The 15904-nt window shown below is 44.8% G+C and overlaps 1 long non-coding RNA gene and 1 pseudogene across 2 annotated transcripts in view, besides 1 other annotated feature; one reads left to right on the forward strand and one right to left on the reverse strand.

The window, feature by feature from the left end:
* The window catches only part of ENPP7P6 (ectonucleotide pyrophosphatase/phosphodiesterase 7 pseudogene 6), a 63266-nt pseudogene extending 55818 nt beyond the window's left edge, over nucleotides 1-7448 (reverse strand).
* FAM86B2-DT (FAM86B2 divergent transcript) overlaps nucleotides 1-15904 on the forward strand; it is a 129833-nt gene that overhangs the window by 66818 nt on the left and 47111 nt on the right. The gene's annotated exons all lie outside the window — the stretch shown is intronic.
* Nucleotides 7396-7895: an enhancer, noted in NCBI's record as "H3K4me1 hESC enhancer chr8:12368735-12369234 (GRCh37/hg19 assembly coordinates)". NCBI's record gives its function as "activates a minimal SCP1, AML or CMV promoter by ChIP-STARR-seq in naive H9 embryonic stem cells {active_cell/tissue: H9 hESC(naive)}" and the evidence as "EXISTENCE:reporter gene assay evidence [ECO:0000049][PMID:30033119]".

Consider the following 15904-nt stretch of genomic DNA (forward strand, 5'->3'; position numbering starts at 1 on the left):
GGAGAAGACCCCAAGCCTCATATGAGACACTAATTCCAGCCAACACCTTGATCACAACCTTGTAAGTACCTAAGCAGAGGGCCCAGCTAAACTGCACCCCCAGACTCCTGACCCACAGGAAAGGAGAGGTAATAGATGGATGTTTTAAGCTGCTAAATTTGTGTTGATTTGTTATGCAGCTTAGAAAATGAATACATCATTCCATTTTTAAAAAATCATAAGCTAATCACACCATTCGATTTCTTTTTTTTCTTTTTTCTTTTTTTTTTTTGAGACAGAGTCTCACTCTATCGCCCAGGCTTGAGTGCAATGGCGCAATCTTGGCTCACTGTAAGCTCTGCCTCCCAGGTTCAAGTGATTCCCTTTCCTCAGCCCCCCAAGTAGCTAGGACTACAGGCAAGCACAACCAAACCCAGCTAATTTTTATATTTTTAGTAGAGATGGAGTTTCTCCATTTTGGCCAGGCTGGTCTCGAACTCCTGACCTCAAGTGACCTGCCTGCCTCAGCCTCCCAAAGTGCTGGGGTTGCTGACATGAGCCACCGCACCTGGCCTGACACACCATTCAGTTTTAATGAGCTTCCAGGTGCTGTGGTCACGCCCCTCTTGTGTGGCATGCAGGTTGGGAGAGATGGGTTGGAAGATGACTGGATGGGGGCATGGAGCTAGGTGGGAAGAGGAAAAGTGTCTTGAAGGAAGTAAGTCCCTTCAGATAAGGGAGGGAGAAGCTTGATCAATATGCAGACTTTCACAGTCCTTCAGTCCTGGGGATACTGGTGGAGAGACAGGTCTTGCCTTATATTTGAGAGTTACCATCCCAGGCAGAGGCCCTACTTCCACCTTCTTGCAGGTGGGGCTGGGGAGCAAATACTTAGAGGAGAAACGAACACCCTTTGTAAGCATGTGAAAAGTTTCTGGAGTAGAGAGATGATGAAGCAGGATATTGGGAGTCAACAGCCGAAGCTTTTATCTTATTTTTTATTTTGTATTATACTTTAAGTTTTAGGGTACATGTGCACAACGTGCAGGTTTGTTACATATGTATACATGTGCCATGTTGGTGTGCTGTACCCATTAACTCGTCATTTAACATTAGGTATGTCTCTTAATGCTATCCCTCCCGCCTCCCCCGCCCCCACAACAGGTCCCAGTGTGTGATGTTCCCCTTCCTGTGTCCATGTGTTCTCATTGTTTAATTCCTACCTATGAGTGAGAACATGCGGTGTTTGGTTTTTTGTCCTTGCAATAGTTTGCAGAGAATGATGGTTTCCAGCTTCATCCATGTCCCTACAAAGGACATGAAATCATTGTTTATGGCTGCATAGTATTCCATGGTGTATATGTGCCATATTTTCTTAATCCTGTCTATCATTGTTGGACATTTGGCTTGGTTCCAAGTCTTTGCTATTGTGAATAGTGCCACTATAAACATACGTGTGCATGTGTCTTTATAGCAGCATGATTTATAATCCTTTGGGTATATACCCAGTAATGGGATGGCTGGGTCAAATGGTATTTCTAGTTCTAGATCCCTGAGGAATTGCCACACTGAATTTCACAATGGGTGAACTAGTTTACAGTCCCACCAACAGCGTAAAAGTGTTCCTATTTCTCCACATCCTCTCCAGCACCTGTTGTTTCCTGACTTGTTAATGATCGCCATTCTAACTGGGGTGAGATGGTATCACATTGTTGTTTTGACTTGCATTTCTCTGGCCAGGGATGATGAGCATTTTTTTCACGTGTCTTTTGGCTACATAAATGTCTTCTTTTGAGAAGTGTCTGTTCATATCCTTTGCCCACTTTTTGATGGGTTGTTTGTTTTTTTCTTGTAAATTTATTGGAGCTCATTGTAGATTCTTGATATTAGCCCTTTGTCAGATGAGTAGATTGCAAAAATTTTCTCCCATTCTGTAGGTTGCCTGTTCACTCTGATGGTAGTTTCTTTTGCTGTGCAGAAGCTCTTTAGTTTAATTAGATCCCATTTGTTAATTTTGGCTTTTCTTGCCATTGCTTTTGGTGTTTTAGACATGAATTCCTTGCCCATGCCTATGTCCTGAATGATATTGCTGAGGTTTTCTTCTAGGGTTTTTATGGTTTTAGGTCTAACATTTAAGTCTAATCCATCTTGAATTAATTTTTGTCTAAGGTGTAAGGAAGGGATCCAGTTTCATCTTTCTTCATATGGCTAGCCAGTTTTCCCAGCACCATTTATTAAGTAGGGAATCCTTTCCCCGTTTCATGTTTTTGTCAGGTTTGTCAAAGATCAGATGGTTGTAGATATGTGGCATTATTCCTGAGGGCTCTGTTCTGTTCCATTGGTCTATATCTCTGTTTTTGTACCAGTACCAGGCTGTTTTGATTACTGTAGCCTTGTAGTATAGTTTGAAGTCAGGTAGTGTGATGCCTCTAGCTTTGTTCTTTTGGCTTAGGATTGACTTGGCAATGCTGGCTCTTTTTTGGTTCCATATGAACTTTAAAGTAGTTTTTTCCAATTCTGTGAAGAAAGTCATTGGTAACTTGATGGGGATGGCATTGAATCTATAAATTACCTTGGCCAATATGGCCATTTTTACGATATTGATTCTTCCTACTCATGAGCATGGAATGTTCTTCCATTTGTTTGTGTCCTCTTTTATTTCGTTGAGCAGTGGTTTATAGTTCTCCTTGAAGAGGTCCTTCATATCCCTTGTAAGTTGGATTCCTAGGTATTTTATTCTCTTTGAAGCAATTGTGAATGGGAGTTCACTCATGATTTGGCTCTCTGTTTGTCTGTATTGGTTTATAAGAATGCTTGTGATTTTTGCAAATTGATTTTGTATCCTGAGACTTTGCTGAAGTTGCCTATCAGCTTAAGGAGATTTTGGGCTGAGACAGTGGGGTTTTCTTGATATACAATCATGTCATCTGCAAACAGAGACAATTTGACTTCCTCTTTTCTTAATTGAATACCCTTTATTTCCTTCTCCTCCCTGATTGCCCTGGCCAGAACTTCCAACACTATGTTGAATAGGAGTGGTGAGAGAGGGCATCCCTGTCTTGTGCCAGTTTTCAAAGGGAATGCTTCCAGTTTTTGCCCATTCAGTATGATATTGGCTGTGGGTTTGTCATAGATAGCTCTTATTATTTTGAGATACGTCCCATCAATACTTAATTTATTGAGAGTTTTCAGCATGAAGGTTGTTGAATTTTGTCACAGGCCTTTTCTGCATGTAATGAGATAATCATATGGTTTTTGTCATTGGTTCTGTTTATATGCTGGATTATGTTTACTGATTTGCAAATGTTGAACCAATCTTGCATCCCAGGGAGGAAGCCCACTTGATCATGGTGGATAAGTTTTTGATGTGCTGCTGGATTCGGTTTGCCAGTATTTTATAGAGGATTTTTGCATCGATGTTCATCAGGGATATTGGTCTAAAATTCTCTTTTTTGGTTGTGTCTCTGCCCGGCTTTGGTATCAAGATGATGCTGGCCTCATAAAATGAGTTAGGTAGGATTCCCTCTTTTTCTATTGTTTGGAATAGTTTCAGAAGGAATGGTACCAGCTCCTCCTTTTACCTCTGGTGGAATTCGTCTGTGATTCCGTCTGGTCATGGACTTTTTTTGGTTGGTAAGCTATTAATTATTGCCTCAATTTCAGAACCTGTTATTGGTCTATTCAGAGATTCAACTTCTTCCTGGTTTAGCCTTGGGAGGGTGTACGTGTCGAGGAATTTATCCATTTCTTCTAGGTTTTCTAGTTTATTTGCATAGAGGTGTTTATACTATCCTCTGATGGTAGTTTGTATTTTTGTGGGATTGGTGGTGATATCCCCTTTATCAATTTTTATTGTGTCTATTGGATTCTTCTCTCTTTTCTTTATTAGTCTTGCTAGTGGTCTATCAATTTTGTTGATCTTTTCAAAAAACCAGCTCCTGGATTCATGGATTTTTTGAAGGGTTTTTTGTGTCTCTATTTCCTTCAGTTCTGCTCTGATCTTAGTTATTTCTTGCCTTCTGCTAGCTTTTGAATGTGTTTGCTCTTTGCTTCTCTAGTTCTTTTAATTGTGATGTTAGGGTGTCAATTTTAGATATTTCCTGTTTTCTCTTGTGGGCATTTAGTGCTATAAATTTCCCTCTACACACTGCTTTGAATGTGTCCGAGAGATTCTGGTATGTTGTGTCTTTGTTCTCGTTGGTTTCAAAGAACACCTTTATTTCTGCCTTCATTTCATTATGTACCCAGTAGTCATTCAGGAGCAGGTTGTTCAGTTTTCATGTAGTTGAGTAGTTTTGAGAGAGTTTCTTAATCCTGAGTTCTAGTTTGATTGCACTGTGGTCTGAGAGACAGTTTGTTATAATTTCTGTTGTTTTACATTTGCTGAAGAGTGCTTCACTTCCAACTATGTGGTCAATTTTGGAAGAAGTGCGATGTGGTGCTGAGAAGACTGTATATTCTGTTGATTTGGGGTGGAGAGTTCTGTAGATGTCTATTAGTTCCGCTTGGTGCAGAGCTGAGTTCAATTCCTGAATATACTTGTTAACTTTCTGTCTTGTTGATCTGTCTAATGTTGACAGTGGGGTGTTAAAGCCTCCTATTATTATTGTGTGGGAGTCTAAGTCTCTTTGTAGGTCTCTAAGGACTTGCTTTTTGAATCTGAGTGCTCATGTATTGGGTGCATATATATTTAGGATAGTTAGCTCTTCTTGTTGAATTGATCCCTTTACCATTATGTAATGGCCTTCTTTGTCTCTTTTGATCTTTGTTGGTTTAAAGTCTGTTTTATCAGAGACTAGGATTGCAACACCTGCCTTTTTTTTGTTTTCCATTTGCTTGGTAGATCTTCCTCCATCCCTTTATTTGAGCCTGTGTGTGTCTGTTTTTTCCCCATCTTTGTGGCTTTATCTACCTTTGGTCTTTGATGATGGTGACGTACAGATGGGGTTTTAAGTGTGGATGTCTTTTCTGTTTGTTAGTTTTCCTTCTAAGAGTCAGGACCCTCAGCTGCAGGTCTGTTGGAGTTTGCCTGGGTGTCAGCAGTTGAGGCTGCAGAACAGCAGATATTGTTGAGCAGCAAATGTTGCTGCCTGATTGTTCCTCTGGAAGTTTTGTCTCAGAGGAGTACCCGGCCATGTGAGGTGTCAGTCTGCCCCTACGGGGGTGTGCCTCCAGTTAGGCAACTCGGGGGTCAGGGACCCACTTGAGGAGGCAATCTGTCCATTCTCAGATCTCCAGCTGTGTGCTGGGAGAACCACTTCTCTCTTCAAAGCTGTCAGACAGGGATATTTAAGTCTGCAGAGGATTCTGCTGCCTTTTGTTTGCCAATGCCCTGCCCCCAGAGGTGGAGTCTACAGAGGCAGGCAGGCCTCCTTGAGCTGAGGTGGGCTCCACCCAGTTGGAGCTTCCCAGCTGCTTTGTTTACCTACTGAAGCCTAGGCAATGGCGGGCGCCCCTCCCCCAGCCTTGCTGCCACCTTGCAGTTTGATCTCATACTGCTGTGCTAGCAATGAGTGAGGCTCCATGGGTTTAGGACCCTCTGAGCCAGGCATGGGATATAATCTCCTGGTGTGCCGTTTGCTAAGACCATTGGAAAAGTGCAGTATTAGGGTGTGAGTGACCCGATTTTCCAGGTGCCATCTGTCACCCGTTTCTTTGACTAGGGAAGGGAATTCTCTGACCCCTTGCACTTCCCAGGTGAGGCAATGCCTTGTCCTGCTTGGCTCATGCTCGGTGCACTGCACCAAGTGTCCTGCACCCACTTTCTGACACTCTCCAGTGAGATGAACCAAGTACCTCAGTTGGAAATGCAGAAATCACCTGTCTTCTGGGTCGCTCACGCCAGGAATTGTAGACTGGAGCTGTTCCTATTCGGCCATCTTGGCTCCACTCCTGCTATTATGATTCTTACACAGAGTCCTTTGCTTTCCAGCAGCCTCCTCTTCCTCCTTTTTAGGTTGGAATCCCTCTATTTTAGTGGCCATTGGGATTCTGAAATGACCAGGTCTTTGTCTCAGAGACCTCACACATGCTCTTCCCTCGCCTGGAACACTTTTCCTTCCTCTGGTCCCCTGAGATCTCTTTCAGCTCAACTGCCCCATGCTCAGAGACCCCCTTTCTCCCTCTCTAGTTTGAAACCAGTTTACGCCTGTAGTCTGTGCCTGGAAAACTCGTTTTCCTCCTTGATGCCTCCTGAGTTGTTACAGGATGTATGTGCCTGTTTGGGTGTCTGGTGTCTGTCTCCCCGACTGGACTGTATGCTCCTGGTGAGCTGGAGGGACTGGACTAGCACAGGCCAAGGCCCTGGGGCTTGAGGGAGCAGGGCAGAAGGCACAGGCAAAGGCCTTTGTGATCCGGAAGGAAGTGAAGGAGAGGGAGAGAGATGAGAGAGGCTGGCAGAAGATAGGCCAGGGGCCAGGCTGTGTGGGATCTTTTGGGCCACAGAAAGACATTTGAATTCTTATGTAAGAGAACCAAGACACCATTGGAAGGTATGAGTCACCTCATCTAACTGAGCTCTGTAAATGTCAGTGTTTTATTATTTTTATACAATTATTTAAAAGTGATTTTAGTTATTTACCTTTTTATTTTTATTACTTTTGTTTTTTTTTTGAGACAAAATCTTGCTCTTTTGCCCAAACTGGAATGCAATGGCATGATCTCGGCTCACTTCAACTACCACCTCCTGGGTTCAAGTGATTCTCCTGTATCAGACTCCAGAGTAGCTGTGGTTATAGGCATCTGCCACCACGCCCAGCTTATTTTTGTATTTTTAGGATAGGTGACGTTTCACCATGTTGGGCAAGCTGGTCTTGAACTCCTGACCTCAGGTGATCCACCCACCTCAGCCACCAAAAGTGCTGGGATTACAGGGGTGAGTCACCATGCTCGGCCTTATTTACTTTAAAAAAAAAGAACAGGCCAGTCACGGTAGCTCATGTCTCCAATCTCAGCACTTTGGGAGGCTGAGGTGGGATGATCACTTGAGGCCAGGAGTTCAAAACCAGCCCAGGCAACATAGTGAGACACCCCCTGCCCCAGTTTCTAAGAAAATGAGAAAATCAGGCATGGTGGCTTGTCTGTATCCCCAGCTACTGAGGAGACTGAGCTAGGGAGGACTGCTTGAGACCAGGAGCTTGAGGCTCCACTGAGCTGTGATTATGCCACTGAGCTACAGCCTGGGCAACAGAGTGAGACCCCGGAGCAACCTCAACCTCCCTAGAGCTGACCGAGCTTTTGCTTCTTATCACAGGGAATGACGGACGCTGGGGATTTGATGGGCATCGGGTGAAATGGGCAGAGTGGCGCTTACCTGTGATGGCAGTGAAGTGGGACGGGGAGGTCATTGTCACAAGGGGCGGCATGAGGTACTTGGCCTTGACGCCCTCCCTGGCCAGATGGTCCAGGTTGGGGGTGTTCACATCCTGATCCTAGTCCCAGCGGAAGCCCTGGAAGGAGATCAGCAGCAGTTGTGAGTGCTCTTCTTCCCTGCGAGGGGGTGGCCGCCCAGCAGGACAGGCGGTGGCAGCAGCAGCTGGAGGGCGCCGAGTCATGTCATCCCACAAGCACCTGTCATGCACTCCTCACAGAGTTCATGGGCTTCTCCCTCTTTAGTCCGTTGTTAAACAAAGTCCGCATTAGTAATTCAGCCCAGCTCTGTTGTGGGACAAACAACCTGGAGTGTAGCAAGGTGCTGCATATTTGCAGGACAGTATGAAAGCGTTCTGGAGATGGATGGGGGACATGGCTGTACAATGTGGGGGATGCACTTAATACCACTGAATTTTTCCTTTGAAAATGGCTAAAATAATAGATTTTGTATGTATTTTACCACAGTAAAAAATCAAGCTGGCCGGGCATGGTGGCTTACACCTGTAATCCCAGCACTTTGGGAGGCCAAGGCGGGTAGATCATTTGAGGTCAGGAGTTCAAGACCAGCCTGGCCAACATGGAGAAACCCCATCTCTACTAAAAATGCAAAAATTAGCCAGGCGTGGCGGTACATGTCTGTAATCCCAGCTACTCGGGAGGCTGAGGCAGGAGAATTGCTTGAACCCGGGAGGCGGAGGTTGCAGTGAGCTGAGATTGCTCCACTGCCTTCCAACCTGGACGATGGAACGAGACTGCATCTCCAAAAAAAAAAAAAAAAAAAAAAAAAAAAAATCAAACCACATGAAATATTTTGGACTCTTATACTAATTCCAACACTTTGAAGATCTGGGGAGAACAAACTAGATTGGTGCTTTCCTTGGCTTAGTATGTTCTGTTTTTATAGGGAGAGCAAATTATTGTTCACCAGCACTATTAAAATAGCTACAACAGGATGGGCATGGTGGCTCACACCTGTAATCCCAGCACTTTGGGAAGCTGAGGTGGGAGGATCGCTTGAGCCCAGGAGTTCGAGATGCCAGCCTGGGCAACATGGTGAGACCCTGCCACTACCAAAAAATATAACAACAACAACACAAATAGCTAGGTGTGATTGTGTGCATCTGTAGTCCCAGCTACTTGAGAGGCTGAGGTGGGAGGATCACTTGTGCCCAGGAGGTTGAGGCTGTAGTAAGCCATGATTATGCCACTGTACTCAGCCTGGGTGACAGAGTGAGACCCTGTATGGAAAAAGAAATAAAAAGCTGCAGTGGAGTCATTGATCATGAGGCCAGGCACTGTATACATGTACATCATCTCATTTAATTTTTTCTCTTGTTTAAAATTATTTTTTCCTCTAATCCCCATGTTGATCGACATTTTTTTCAATCCTAGGAATTAGTTGAAAATTTTGCATAAGAATTGAAAATTGCCTGGTCTGATGTCTTACATCTGTTATCCCAGCACTTTGGGAGGCTGAGATGAGAGAATCACTTGAAGCCAGGAGTTTGGGCCAATCTGGGCAATATACTGAGAATGCAACTCTATAAAAAAATTTAAAAAGCTGGGTGTGGTAGCGTTCACCTGTAGTCCCAGCTACTTGGAAGACTAGGTGGGAGGCTTGCTTGAGTCCAGGCGGTAAAGGCAGCAGTGAGCTATGACTGTGACATTGCACTGCAGCCTGGGTGACGGAGTGAGACTCTATCTCTAAAATAAATGAATAAAATTGTGGCATAATATATGCAACATTTATCATTTTGTGCATCTGAAAGTGTACAATTCAGGGACATTTTGTACATCTATCATGTTGTGCAATTATCACCACTACCTAGTTTCAGGGCTTTTTCAACACCTCAGTTGGAAGCCTCATATCCATTCAGCAGTCACTCTGCATACTCCCTCCTGCAGCCGTTGGAAACCTCTCATCTACTTTCTATCTCTGTCGATTGGCTTAGTCTGAACATTGCATATAAATGGAATTCTACAATATATGACCTTTCATGTCTGCTTCTTTCACTAACCCTAACGTTCATCCATATCACAACATGGATAAGTTTTATTTTCTTTTTAGACCCTATCTAAAAAGAAAAAAAAAATTTGTAAAACAAAAATAAAAACAAAAAAATATATAGGATGGAGATCAGATGAGTCCTGAAAAGTTTATAATATTTACTATCTAGCACTTTACATAGAAGCTTGCCTACCTCTGAAAGATAGGCAGGTACAGAGATGACATTTATCTTGACACTTATAGAAAGACCTATAAATTGTATAAAGACATCATCATTGGATCTCCAGTAACAAGAACTGGCAAGACATGACAGTGTGTCCAGGTGTTCAGGTGAAGTGTAGGGAAGGTCTTGTCTTGACGAGGTCGGATGTGAGACCCAGATGAGATAACCCCATTTCCCCTGCTGAAATTGCCTGAGAATTTCATTCCAGTTATTTGCGTAGTTTGATTCTTTCGGTGGGGGTGGGGGTGGGTGAGGAGGTGGGTGAGGAGGCCGAAGGTCATATCTCAGCTCTGCAACTCATTATCTATGATGCCTTGGGGCAGGTCCCATAACTCTCCAAGCCTCTGTTATATATTCCATAGGGTTGTGAGGTTCAGATGAAATAATGCATGCTGGCAGGAATGGTTACTGCTCATGGGATTTCCATCTGCTCCCTGTATTCCCCAGACCCCCGTAGTTAGATGGATCCATGCCAGGGTCCAATGCTCTATAAGTGGAAGTCACTGACATCACCTCTAGTCTACAGCTTTTGAGGGCTTGGAAATAACTATCTCATTCTCTCATCTCCTGGTGCAGTAACTAGGGGAGAATCCTTGCATTAAGATGGTAGAATTTCCATCATTCTAGGTCTTTGAGTGGCCATATGGAGCACACCATACCCAGCCAACCCATTGTGGACATGGAATGTAAGAAATCAACCTTGGTTGCTAAGCTGCTGAGACTCTGGGGTTAATTTGTTACTGCAGCATAACCTAGTCCATCCTGATGCATGTAGCATGCAAACCACTTATGTTGACCCTTAGTCATGGTCAGTGCTCCACAGATGTTTGTTACTTTTGGTAGGAAGATAGATTGCCTCTGAAAGTTTTGTTAGCTGATCTCATGATGCCAATGTTGCTATTTTGTAATTGGATAAATTGGACTTGGCTCTCTTTCCAGCATGTGGGAGAGAAAGATGACTGAGAGACAATAAGGCACTATTATCTTCAGTTTCTGTCCTTGGATACCCTTGGTGGCAATGAACAATGCATGCCCCTCTGAGAAAGCTGGACCTAAAGGAGAATGGGAGGTGATACCAGAATTGGGAAAGTCCAAGGCCCCAGGCATTCCCTGGTCTGGAGACAACTTTGAGTCCTTGGTGGGAAGATTCTCCAAGGGAACATAAATGCTTCTACTATCTAGTTTGTCTCTTTGAGAATTAAAACTTTTTTTTTTTCATTCCAGTAGCTTTTGGGGTACAGTTTGGCTCTTTGAGAATTGCATACTAATTAATTTTAGGGGCCATCTGTACACATCTCTATATTCCTGAAACATGGTAGAAACAGCCAGCAGTCAGGCGACAATCTACGATGACCACTAAAATATCCCCAAAGTGAAACACTAGATGTGATCCACTAGGTTTAGTGGAGGTGGCTGGCTCGAGAGTTGATTATATTTATTATTGTCACTGTGGTGATTATGGCCACAACATTGTCATGCGTGTTGGTCTTCTTTTGGTGAGTTTCAGTTTGGAAGGAATAAATCCATTTTTTTTTTTTTTTTGAGTCTTGCTCTGTCACCCAGGCTGGAGTGCAGTGGTGCCATCTCAGCGTGCTGTAAACTCCGCCTTCCAGGTTCAAGTGCTTCTCCTGCCTCTATGGCCAGGCTGGTCTTGAACTCCTGACCTCAGGTGATCCACCTGCCTCAGCCTCCCAAAGTGCTGGGATTACAGGCGTGAGCCACCATGCCCGGCCCCATTATTCATTTAACCAATATCTGTTGAGCACATTGGGTGTGCTGGAGGATGAACTGCAGGGGAGAGAGGAAGCCTCCTCCTGCCACTATGTTTTCAAGTTGTCCTAATACTCCACCATGACACGCAGGCTTGTGGGTCCCAGAGATCCAGAAGCATCTCCCGACCACAACATCCTGACCCAGATTCTACTGAAAAATACGCGAGTCTGGGAGAGCCATCTCTGACACTTCCCTTCTTTTGAACGGCTGATCTGTCAGTCCTGGGGAGCCCTTATGAAAGTGCAGTGTGTTTTGTGAAACTTGAGGTTGATCAAAGAATACCACTTTGTTAAGAAATCTACATATTGATGACATATGCAGTGGGGTGGAGGTGGGGAAATTCCCAAATACATTTTAGGAATTATCTCAGAAGGAGGTAATAGTCAGAACTCTTGGTTGTCAGTGACAGAAACTCATCTTACTAGTGTGGAGTGGAAAAGGGATCATGTTTTTCTCTGCACTCCCCAACCCCAACCCCAAGCAGATCCTGAAAGAGGGACAGGATTGCAAGTGGATTATTTAGGAGATGATTCCAGGGGACACCAATAGGGGAGTGAGGAATTGATTCATGGAAAGGTAGGAGGCCACACAGGGGGCTTCAATGAGCAGCTTACCACTCTAGGCAACTAGGATTTGACCCCACTGGGGACCTCTGAGAGGTGATGTGGAATACATTTCAAAGTTGTTCCATCCAGGGGGCAAAGATATTGAAGCATTTATAGCCTGGCTCCCATCCGTCACTGGCTGAGGACTGGTCCCAGGGCATCAACTCTCTGGCTTTGCTTTCTTCTTCTTCTTTTTTTTTTTTTTTGAGACATAGTCTTGCTCTGTCACCCAGGCTGGACTGCAAAGGCATGATCTCGGCTCACTGCAACATCTGCCTCCCAGGTTCAAACGATTCTCTTGCCTCGGCTTCCTCAGTAGCTGGGATTACAGGCGCCTGCCACCATGCCCGGCTAATTTTTTTATTTTTTGTAGAGACGGGGTTTTGCCACGTTGGTCAGGCTGGTCTCTAACTCCTGACCTCGTGATCCACCTGCCTCGGCCTCCCAGTGTTGGGATTACAGGAGTGAGCCACTGCGCCCAGCTTCTGTGGCTTTTCTGACATACTCCATGCCTGACTTTCAGAAAGCCCTCAGGTGAAAGTCTTGGTTGTATGCAGTATCGAGCATGTACTAAAATGACAAAAACCAAGGGGCTTACCACAAGATCTCTCTCTCTATCTCTGTCTCTAGCTTTGTCTGCATACTGGCTTAATTTCTTCTTACTCAAGCCTTTTCTCCATAAGGTGAGAAACGTGTCCACAAAAGCTCCTGTATTTCTCACTACACACAATTCCTGTCATCACAGAGAATGATTAACTTGGTCTAGTTCCAGTTTGGAAAAATATTCAAGGGAAGAATTCTGATTGGCCAATTTAGGCCAGATGCTCATCCCTGGACCAATCAACTGAGGCCAGGGAGGTGGAGTCATTTGAGAACATGGCAGCCCCCATGAGATCCACATGACTGGAGTAGGAAGTGTGACTCTCTATAGAGGGGAGGGCTGCTAGGCTGAAAAGGCAATAGATGTCTGCAGTGAAAGGAATAGATCAGGAGATACATTCTGTTAAACCTGTTAATTATTTGAAAAAAAGAGAAACTTTCAATATACTGTCACAGTATACGTGAGCCGGTGGCTCACGCCTATAATCCCAGCACTTTGAGAGGCTGAGGTGGGCAGATCAGAGGTCAGGAGTTCGAGACCAACCTGACCAACATGGTGAAACCCCGTCTTGTGCACCTGTAATCCCAGCTACTCAGGAGGCTGAGGCAGGAGAATTGCTTGAACCAGGGAGGGGGAGGTTGCATGAGCTGAGATCATGCCACTGCCCTCCAGCCTGGGCAACAGAGTGAGACTCCTCAAAAAAAAAAAAAAAAAAAGTTACATTGTCGTTCCCCCAGCGTGATTTATCAGAAAGGAAAAACTTACAATATGCATATTTCCTATGCATAGGCTACTGCTATGAATTGAAATTCTTAAATTCCAAAGATTAATTAAAATGTTTCTCAAGACACATAAACTGTTAGAATCTGCTTATAATGAGGCTGAAGTTGAGTAAGAAGAGAACTGGCATTTAGGACGCTACTTTTCTTCTGTCGAGTACTGTCAAGTTTTGGTTCTGCCTGGAAGTAGATGCACCTCAAGGGAGGGTTGCATGTAAAGGGGTGTGTGTGTGTGTGTGTGTGTGTGTGTGTGTGTGTGTGTGTGGTTTCCAAAGATGGGTACAACTTTCTGCAAATGTTCGTGCAGTATAATTGAACCAATCTTTCCTTAAAGAGGGAAAATTTATACTCCTCTACATGAATCTGGGCTGCCTATGACTTGCTTTGGTCAGTGGAATGCTGCCAAATTGATGGTGACCAACTTCTAGCCGTAAAAGGAAAATAAACCTTGGGGCCCCAAGATCACTAAGCTAGGCTGGGCTCCGTGGCTCACGCCTGTAATCCCAGCACTTTGGGAAGCTGAGGTGGGCAGATCACCTGAGGTCAGGAGTTCAAGACCAGCCTGGCCAACATGACAAAACCCCATCTCTACTAAAATATATGAAAATTAGCCAGGCGTGGTGGCAGGCGCCTGTAATCCCAGCTACTTGGGATGCTGAGGCAGGGAAACTTCTTGAACCCTGGAGTTGGAGGTTGCAATAAGCCGAGATCGTACCACTGCACTCCAGCCTGCACAACAGAGCGAGACTCTGTCCGCCCACCCAAAAAAAAGTTACTAAGCTAAAGAGAAAAGTCAAGCTGGGAACTGCTTAAGGGAAACCTGCCTCCCATTCTATTCAGTTAACCCTTTGCTTACTGAGATGAATGTATATCTGATTGCCTCATTTGGAGAGGCTAATCAGGAACTCAAAACAATGCAACCATTTGTCTCTTAACTACCAATGACCTGGAAGCCCCTTCCCCTTGTCTCACCTTCACTTTCACCTGGAGTTGTCCCGCCTTTCCAGACTGAAACAATGTACATCTTACACATATTGATTGATGTCTCATGTCTCTCTAAAATGTATCAAACCAAGCTGTGTCCCCACCACCTTAGGCCCATGTTGTCAGGACCTCCCGAGGCTGTGTCACAGGCGTGAGTCCTTAACCTTGGCAAAATAAACTTTCTGAATTAACTGAGACCTCATATTTTTGGGGTGCAAATAGTCTTAGGCCTTGAGAGCCCTCTCGTAGTTTCCATATTTTTGCCCTCTTGGATGCTGGCACCAAGCAAACCTTGGCTATCCTGCTTAAAGGGACATTTGGAGAGGGGCTCTGGAGGGCGAGGGGCCACATGGAGGAAAACAAGGTTCCCCGGCTGACAACCAGCACCAACTGCCAGGCACATGCATGAGGCCATCCTGGATGCTCCGCCCAGCTGGCCCTCCAGCTGCAGGTAGCCACACAAATGAGCCCAGGTTAAACCAGCCAGGAAGTCCCCATGCAACTCACAGGGTCATGAGCAATAATGGCTTCTGGTGGTTTAAAGTTTCTAATTTTAGGTGCAATAGGTAACTGAAACAGCCCACAAGGGTGTGAGCCTGTGGAGGGTGCATTTCCCACCTGCTGAAGCTTCTCAATTCCCAGGATCCAATCCAGATAAGACTCTTGTTCTCAGTGTCCTTGATGGAAATGGCAATGAACTTTTTGCAGATTGGACCATCTCGGGAATCCCAAAGATCGGAAACTATTTTCTTTCTCAGAATCTTCCACAAAGCATTGAGCCTTAGGAATTTCTAAGAAGGATCTTGAATGAAAAAAAATCTTTTGAAAAGGTATTTGTATAGCTTCAGTTCAGCAAGATTCATGGTGGGTGTTAGAGTAAGTGCTGGTGTTAAGCCAAACCATGTTTTTCAAAGACTCATCTGGCCTCAACGTTGGCAGGATCAGAGTGGCCTCCCAGGATCTATCACATCCTCAGAAGAGTTGGTTCAACTGGCATGTACCCAGATCTCTTTGAGCTAGTATGATACTCCCTTGAGTCAAAGGCTGCCACATCACATCTCCTTTAAGTCCCCCTAAGTACGACCCCAGAAGTATTGACAAAATAGTGCAATTCCTGAAGATTTCAGGAGGACATAAATGAAGAGACTAAACTGCAAGGTACCAAAACTTCCATCTTTGCTAAAGACCCTCATCCAGACTGGGCACGGTGACTCACGCCTGTAATCCCAGCAATTTGGGAGGCCAAGGCGGGTGGATCACCTGAGGTCGGGAGTTCAAGACCAGCCTGACCAACATGGACAAACCCCATCTCTACAAAAAATACACAATTAGCCGGGAGTGGTGGTACATGCCTGTAATTCCAGCTACTAGAGAGGCTGAGGCAGGAGAATCGCTTGAACCTGGGAGGCGTATGTTGCGGTGAGCTGAGATCGTGCTATTGCACTCCAGCCTGGGCAACAAGAGTAAAACTCCATCTCAAAAACCAACAAACAAAAAGCCCTTATCCAATGGTCATGCCACTCTATCTGGCCATGTAATTTCTCCTCCTGTCTTTCTGTAGCAACAGCCTTCTGAAGAACC

This window comes from Homo sapiens, chromosome 8 (assembly GCF_000001405.40).
Source record: "Homo sapiens chromosome 8, GRCh38.p14 Primary Assembly".
Lineage (NCBI taxonomy): Eukaryota > Metazoa > Chordata > Mammalia > Primates > Hominidae > Homo > Homo sapiens.